Here is an 8,757-nt window from a genome sequence, read left to right on the forward strand (position 1 = left end):
TTTTTTTTTTTTCTTTTCTGAAAGCTTTGGGATTTTGTCTTTGATCCTAGTGTTCTGAAGCACTACACTGGTGGGCCTCAGTGAGGATTTATTTTTAATTTTTGTGGTGAACCTCAATAAGACTTTTAATTCTGAGAAATTTTCTTAAGCTGTAATATTGATTATTGTATCTGTTTTCTTTTCTAGAATTTCTTCTACTTAGATGGTTAGTCTTCTGGACACTCTCTAAGCTCTAATTTGCAAATTTTTTTTGCTCTCATTTTCCATGTCTTGGTCTTTTTGCTTTACTTTCCAAGAAATTTTTGTAAATTATCTTCTAGCACATCAATTGAGATGTTCATTTCTGCTTTCAGGTTTTCATTTTCTAAAACTCAGTCTCGTTGTCTGCATGTTTGGTTTTTTAAAAATAGAATCCTGTTTTTATTTCATGCATATAATATCTCACTCTACCACCCAGGCATGATAATAGCTCATGGTAGCCTCCAAATCCTGGGCTGAGGTGTTCCTCCTGCCTCAGCCTTCTGAGTAGCTAGGCATATGCCACCATGCCTGACTAACTTTTGTTTTTTGTAGAGATGCGGTCTTGCTATGTTGCCCAGGCTACTCTTGAAATTTTGGCATCAAGCAATCCTCCCGTCTTGGCCTTCCAAAGTGTTGGGATTACAAGTGTGAGCCACCACACCCAGTCTTTTCTTAGACTTCTGACTTTCATGTTGTGTGTTTCCTCAGATGTCTGGTGATCAGCTTTCTTTGGTCTATTTAGTCAGTCAGTTATGTGCTCTTCTGCATTCCAACTTCCAAAATTTTATCACTATCATGAAAGGAGAGATTTCCTCAAAAAGAGAATTCCATCAATGAGGAAAGAGATATTGTCCCATTCTTCTCCTTGTCAATGTATGCCATTTAGAGGAGAGGCTGGGCAGCAGTGTGGAAGCTGGATAGGGAAAAAGTACTATTCTTGCTCAACTGTCCAGACCAATTTGCCTTTAATCCCAAACTTATGTTGGGGCTTAGAACACAATACCCCAAATATGGCACCTTGGTGTGCTGAGTACTCTGAACTGAAGGACACATGGAGGGCCTCAGAAACAAGGTCTGCCTGACCTTCTCCCATCCTCTGGTTTCCTGCCCCTCTTTCTCTTCAAAAGCAAATCACAGAAACCAGAATTTCACTTTTGCAAGGTGGGTCATAGAAACTAGTCCTCCTCTCACCCAAAGCAAGCCATAAAAACTAAAAAGGTCACTTTTCCCCTTCTCCCTTCTTACTTGAAGACCTCATTCCGAGGGCCCTGTCCCATATCCAGGAGGAAGGAATGTTACACAGAGAAGACAAGAAGATTCTGGAAAGGCCTTGCTGGGTTTGCCACCTATTATCATTAGATCATACTCTTTTGTCCAATCACATTTCTACATGGCTGTCTATTCTTCATTGAACCTAAAAAAAATAGACAGTTTTCCCTGGATCTCCCGATCTTCATTTCTAAAGGCACCCGTGTCACATAAAACTTTGATTAAATAACTGTGTTATGCTTTTCTCTTGTTTACCTGTCCTTTTTATAGGTGTGTAGGCTTGGATCCTATGACTGCTGAGGAAAATATCACACCTTTCCTCCCCTAAGCTTACTCAACCCAGCACAAGAAAAGCTCTGTGCCCAAATTTCCCATCCCTTCTTAGAAGGCAGCTTGAGCTCTATCTATCTCAAGCCTCTTTGGAGGATTAGTTCTGCCCCTTCTTTTTCTTCCCCTAAGCGGCTTGGTAAAGCAACCCACATGTAAGTCTTTTCTGAAAGTGGTTTTGGGAAATAGCATTGTCTTCATTGTATTTCATTTCCAGTGATTTTAGTGCCTTGTAAATGCCAGATGACTCCGTCTCTTTTTTCCTGCCTCTGCTTTCTTGCTACCCAGCCCAGTCTCAGTCTCCTCCTCTATAAAATGGGGGACATACTACCTCCCTTACTGCACTCTGGTGAGGAAGAAGTAAAACAAGGTAAATTGGAAAGCCAGTAGTCAGAGCCTGCCACTTCAGGAGCTTCTTGGCCTTTGACAGCTCTAAGAACTATGAGCACCATGGGAATATCTTCTCCCAATGTCTCCTTTACTAGGGGGCCCTTGATGAGGGTTTGCAGTTTTCTCCATCAGGGCTACAGTGTTTGCAAAAGTGAAAGTAACTTTAAATCCCTCGCGATCAAAACATAAGGTGAAAAACACCCAATAACTAAATTCTCACCTTAACAACTATTGCAAGTAAAACCGAGGAGGGAAGAGAAGATATTAACCTCCCTAGACCTACATGCAAGCAACAGGGTAAGTAAGCAGCATCAGTTCTCTGCACAAACCCAGAGAAGGTGTGAGACACTGTGGAGTCTGCTGCTTCTTTCAGACCCAGGGAATGTCTGCTTGACACCTCTCTTTCTGCCTCCCCGCACCCCACTTCCTTCTATTTTTGTAACTTAGAGAAGAACAGGAAGGGGTATTTTTTTTAATGTTTTTAAGCATTCAGGGTATGCCTGTGTTCTAGAAGCTGGTGAAGCTGTGAACTTGCCACAGAAAATGATTGTGACCCAGGACAAGGGCTTCAGCGTCTCTACCTTGTCAAAGGAGGAGCTGATCCTACCTGGTTGGAGAAAATTTTGTCATCTCCCTCAAGCTGGTGCAGGGAGTTCTAGCACACACTACTGTATGATATTCAAATCCAAAGTTAAAAAAGACTCCAAGATTGTTTTACTTAATCAGTGAAAGGGAAGGCAGCAACAGAGTTGAGTTTCGAGAAGGTGGCCCCTGAGCCAGCCTGCCAGATCAATTTGTGTCTCCTGGGAGAGACCTTTGGTGCTGGCTTTTCCCTTCAAGGGCTGGTAAAACCCATGAGGACCCATTGATTAGGCAATGACAAACTGATGACCGAGGCTGCTGAGATTATATTCATTGCTCAGTGGTTCAAATATGTCCACGATTTAGAGTGGAACCCTGTATAAAAATAAGAAACAGAAAAAAACCGTATATGGTTTTCAAATAAAATATATGCTGTCAGGATAACTAACTGGGGATTGGTTTGCTTAGTTGTTTTTCTTCGCTAGCAACCACTTCCAACCTACTCTCTATTTCTTGTTTTCCCACTTAGCTTCCAGTTATATTTTTTTGCTTTGTCCTTTTGTCAGATTAGTTACAACTTTGGATAGGTTTACCATATTTAGAAAATAAAAACATAGTTAAATTTGAATTTCAAATAAACAACAATTTTTTAGTACAAATCAGACCCATGAAATATTTGTATACATTTATAGAAAAAAAATATGTATTATTTATTTGAAATTCAGTGGGACAAACTTATACTAAAATATTATTTATTGTTAAGTTTTCAAGAGTTTAATTTAAAATTATTGTGCATATTGTGACAACTTTCTTCTTGATACATCGAATAATAATGGTTTTATATTTAATGGCTTGGATTTGGTAAAACAGCATGGAATTTTACTATTAAAATAATGCATCATTACACATAAAATTGAAGGGCCTTTCTTCTCCCCTATCACTCACTGTCATGTTCACCTGTGTCATTTTTCTTCATTCCCTTGAGGCAATTATCTAAATTTGGTGTGTATTTTTCAGGACATAATTTTACATAAATCTATATACATATATGTTTTTCTTAATATATAGTATTATTCTCTGTTTTATTGTTCTATATATATTGTTTCACATCTGTCTTTACTTGCAATTATGTTTTTAAAAGTCTATTCATGTTGATCTATGTAGTGATATTTCATCTGCCGAATTACATTTCGGTGTATGCATATACTATAATTAATCTGTTTTCCTGTTGATGGACATTTCAGTTATTTTCCATTTATTTTTCCAGTTTCATACTATTATAACCAGGGATTCTCTAATACATATTAAGAAATGGAATCTCAAGGTTGTAGAGTACTTTTTTTTAACTATTTTCAATTTATCTTTAATTTAAATAAGCCTCATTTAGTGGTGCCTTTAGGTTTACTGAGTGAAATCTGAATTTGTTACTGTACAAAGTTTGTTTTTTTTTCTCCTCAAAGGAAAGCCCTTTCTATTTTGCCTTTCACCCACCTCATTACCAGCAATCATAACAGTAACAGTGATAAAATCACTCTCTGTAAAATGTCACCTTTGAAAGTTCTTTTGTGATGATTTGTGGGCCATCAGTCAACTGAGCCACCTACACTTCCCAAATCCTTTGTTGTATTTCCAAAGACTATCTGCTTGAAAGAACATACAAGGCCCCCCTCAGGCTTATATGTCAATCTCCTGGTGGTGGAGAGACAAGTAACATCAGTGTGAATTTTAAGGAACTGCCAGTAATATGTGTCAAGGTCCCAGGAGTCGGCATCCTCATTTGGTCCAATAGTGCCACATTTAGGAATTTACTGTAAGCAAATAGGTAAATATATGCACAAAAATAGTGAGGTATTAACTACAAATAAAATTTTAAAAGTAGAAAATTAGAAACTCCCTTAGGATTCTATAATAGAAGGTTATATAAATAAATCAAGATGGGTTTCTACAAAAAAAAATTGACCCAGAAAGTGTTAATACGATGTTAAATGAAGAAAATGTGATAAAGGCTGGTTTGAAGAAATACGACTTTAAAAGATATATATATATATGAATATATATATGAAAGATATATATATATGAATATATATATGAAAGATATATATATGAATATATATAAAAGATACATATATGAATATATATAAAAGATATATATATGAATATATATAAAAGATATATATATGAATATATATATAAAAGATATATATATGAATATATATATAAAAGATATATATATGAATATATATATAAAAGATATATATATGAATATATATATAAAAGATATATGAATATATATGAAAGATATATATATGAATATATATGAAAGATATATATATGAATATATATGAAAGATATATATATGAATATATATATGAAAGATATATATATGAATATATATGAAAGATATATATATGAATATATATATGAAAGATATATATATGAATATATATGAAAGATATATATATGAATATATGTAAAGATATATTCATATATATGTAAGATATATATATTCATATATATAAAAGATATATATGAATATATATGAAAGATATATATGAATATATATGAAAGATATATGAATATATATGAAAGATATATATATGAATACATATATGAAAGATATATATATAGATGGAAAAATATCTGGAAGGATATAACTAAAGGCATTAACAGTGACTATCTCTGGAGTGTGGAATTTATAGATGGAGTTTCATTTTCTTCTTTTGTCATGTATTTTTTCTAATTTTTATACAGTGAACATATATTATTTTGGCAACAAAGATAATTAAATGTAGATATGCCAGAATTTTGTTTACTTGGGTCATGGTTATGTGTGGAGAATGAACACTAAGAGATAGGCAGGTTGGTAGGAGAATTTAGGAGCAAGATGAGATGGAGAAGTAAGTTTAATAAAACACGTTATCTGGGAACAATTTTGGATTTTTCTTGGACATTTTTTTCACCCTTGTTCTCCAGACTTTTTAAAGGATTCTAAAGCATAAAAGTCCTGAATGATTGGTGTCTAGCAATGAATAATCTAGATTTCCTTTTGTTTCTGAAATATGTCTGCACTTATTCCTTCACTGTAGTAAATTTATGCTCCCAGTAAAGACCTGCAGAAAAGACAGATTTGATAGCCTTCCTTGATAACAAATTTAAGAAAGATATCTAATGCTTCTTTCATTATTTTTAAAATTTAGTTTGGAGGAGATCAAAATCTCTTCTAGAATAACATTCTTTTTATAGCTTCAATATCCCTTCCTTGAATCACCAGTGTGGCAAAAATAAAATAAAATAAATACAAAATAAAAATCACTTGGTTAAGGCAAAAACTCTGTTTACTATCAGTTTCTATCAGCCTCAAAATGTCCAAGTTACAGTATACAGAAAGAGAGTATGGTTCCATGTAGATGGATTCTTTAATGGATGAAGATACACAGATGCAAATAACCTAAAATTGGTACTATACTAAACTCATCAAAACAACAAAAAATGATAAAATCTAATGCTGTCTGGTATAAAGCTTATGGAAAAACCAGCATTGATGATAGCACTTAAAACTGGTTCAGTATTTATGGAAAGAATCCTAATAACATGTAAGAATTATCAAAAGGTATTTTTTTTTACTCTCCCTAAAAAGAAAACGTTTTTTGTATAAGTATCTTTCTCCCAAAGACCATTTGCTTACTACCCTGTCATGATGTAACTTTAGAGGAACTGTACCACAAAATAGAGCTTGAGATCCCTAACATCACAGAATTTTAGAGAAGGAAGCTTGAAAATGTAATTTGCTGGCTTTAAAAGCTTCTAAGATTTTCCTAAGTTCCCTCAGCTAAAAACTGAAGATGCTGAGCTTGCTGTTGATGACTCTGTAATTATAAGTTATGAGTCTTTCATGCAAAACCCATGCCCTCAATAATGAGGCAGCTCCTAGGGACCAGAAGGGAGCTGTTGGTCTAGGCAGAAGCAAGTGTTGGTTAAAGAGTATATACGGCTTGCTTGCTCTGCATTCCAGACAGACAATTGCTCTGGAAGTGGTGTGAATTGCACCCCACCCCCACAATTAACCTCAAAGATGTGTTAATTTCTCAGTCAAACTGAGGACCATTTAAATTCAGGCAGTGTCAGAAAACAAGCATTTATTTGGAACCAAAAGAACAATTTGTCTCTTCTTTTTCATTGTCTGCCCATTAATTTTCCCAGAATAAAACCTCTTCAAACAGACTTTTCCTGCTCCTAGAATGTCCCACATCCCAGTCTAGGCAAACAGGATTTTTTCAATGAGAAGAAAAATTACTCCCTCATTGTTTGGTGAAGAGAGAAGAAAGAATGGATGGTTGCCTTTAAAGAGGACCATTTCTGGAAAACAAAGCTAGGACAGTACACACTTGTTCTTTTGAGCATCCTCTTTTATTAGAGATATGATGACGTCCTTCCAGAGTCCATAACACTTAGGAAAGTGTGGACACTTTTCCTCTCAAACCACTGGTTTTGTTTATGACCACATGATTATGATTTTGGGTGATAACTTTACCTACCTTTTCTTCATCTCATGGTTTCTTAACCTGGGGCACTACTGACATTTTGGGACTGGATAATTCTTCAGTGGAGAGAGAGGTGGGGAGGAAAGGGGGGCAGTCCTGTTTTTATAGGACTGTTAGCAGTATCCCTGGTTCCTCCCTCCTGCCCCCACCCCTGCCATTTATGAAAACAGAAAATGTCCCCACACATTGCCAAATGCTAAGTATCCTATATAATAGCAATATCAACTATGTATTGAGTGCAACTATGTGCCAGGTTCTGTACTATGCACCTTATATTCTCATAACAACCCAGACAATTAGGTACATGTTGTCCCCGTGCCACTCAAATGTAAGATCCAGGAGGACAGGTACCATATGTCTAGCTTATCAATGTACCTCCCAAGCTTTTGCACAGTGACCAGCACATACCTGTGTACACCACAATGCCCAGGTAATATTCTTTAAAATGAATCAGTGACTGAAATTTACTAAAGAAGATCATTTACTTCTTCCTCTTGTAAACCAAGTTTTCAGCACATTCTGTTTTCTCCACTTTCCAAATATACTCAGAATGTATTCATCTCCCATCACCTCAAAACTACCACCCTGGTCCAAGCCAGTATGATCTATCACCTGGATAATCGCAGCAGCCTCCTAATTGGTCCCCATGCTTTTGCCCTTACCCTGCTGTAGTCTATTATTAACCCAGCAATGAGGGGATCCTTTGAAACATAAGACAGATGAGATAACTCTACTCAATACCTTCTAATGGCCTCCCATCTCAGAATGAAGTCAAAGTTCTTTCAGTGGCCTACAAAGTTCTGCATGATGTATTCCCTGTTACCTCTCTGAATTTATTTCCTTCTAGTCTCCCTTACACACTCAGGTCCTTCTACATTGGCCTTCTTGTTGTTATTTAGATATGCCAAGCACACTCCTACTTCAGAGCATTTGCATGAGCTGCTCACCCTGCCAGGAATACCCTTCCCACAGCCCTCTCTTTTAAATCTTTACTCAAATGTCATCTTCTCTGTGAGGTCTTTCCTGGGCACTCCAAACTTGCACTCCTCCTGACTCTCTTTGCTACTTAATTTTTCTCCATTGTCACCCTCCAATGAACCAGAATGTAAGCTCCATGAAGAGGGATTTCTATCTGTTTTGTTTGCCATTAAATCTCCAGCATCCAGTATTAGGCATACAGTAGGTGCTCAAATGTTTGCTAATTGTTAAAAGAAAGAATGAATGAGTGAATAAAGACACAGAGATGTGAAGTGGCCAGAGGCTGACAGCCTCTAAGTCCTATTCTTCCAGTGATTCCCAAATTTGGCTGTGCATCAGAATCACTTCGGCGAGAAGGGTATGATTGTTAAAATGCAGATTCCAGGGCTTTGTGCTGGACCTTAGGAGTCAAAATACAAAAGAGGAGGGTTCAGGAGATTGTAGTTTACAAAAACTCCCTGGAAAACCCTATGCAGCTCATTTGCTGGCTCAGTGGATCTATAAATGGAAACTTAAGGAGTGATCTGGGAGCCACCTGCAGCAGAACCGGCTAGGTCAAAGTCTGGGACCTCCAGCCAGCCTCTCAGGCTGTGAATCCTTACTCCCCTGCCTACTAGCCCTACTACTTTTCACTTTTATTTTTCCTTTC

At 36.4% G+C, this 8,757-nt stretch overlaps 1 annotated feature.

Moving 5' to 3' along the window:
• Positions 3,937 to 4,528: an enhancer, noted in NCBI's record as "OCT4-NANOG hESC enhancer chr3:27924660-27925251 (GRCh37/hg19 assembly coordinates)". NCBI's record gives its function as "activates a minimal SCP1, AML or CMV promoter by ChIP-STARR-seq in naive H9 embryonic stem cells {active_cell/tissue: H9 hESC(naive)}" and the evidence as "EXISTENCE:reporter gene assay evidence [ECO:0000049][PMID:30033119]".

The sequence above is a fragment of the Homo sapiens genome, chromosome 3, assembly GCF_000001405.40.
Source record: "Homo sapiens chromosome 3, GRCh38.p14 Primary Assembly".
Lineage (NCBI taxonomy): Eukaryota > Metazoa > Chordata > Mammalia > Primates > Hominidae > Homo > Homo sapiens.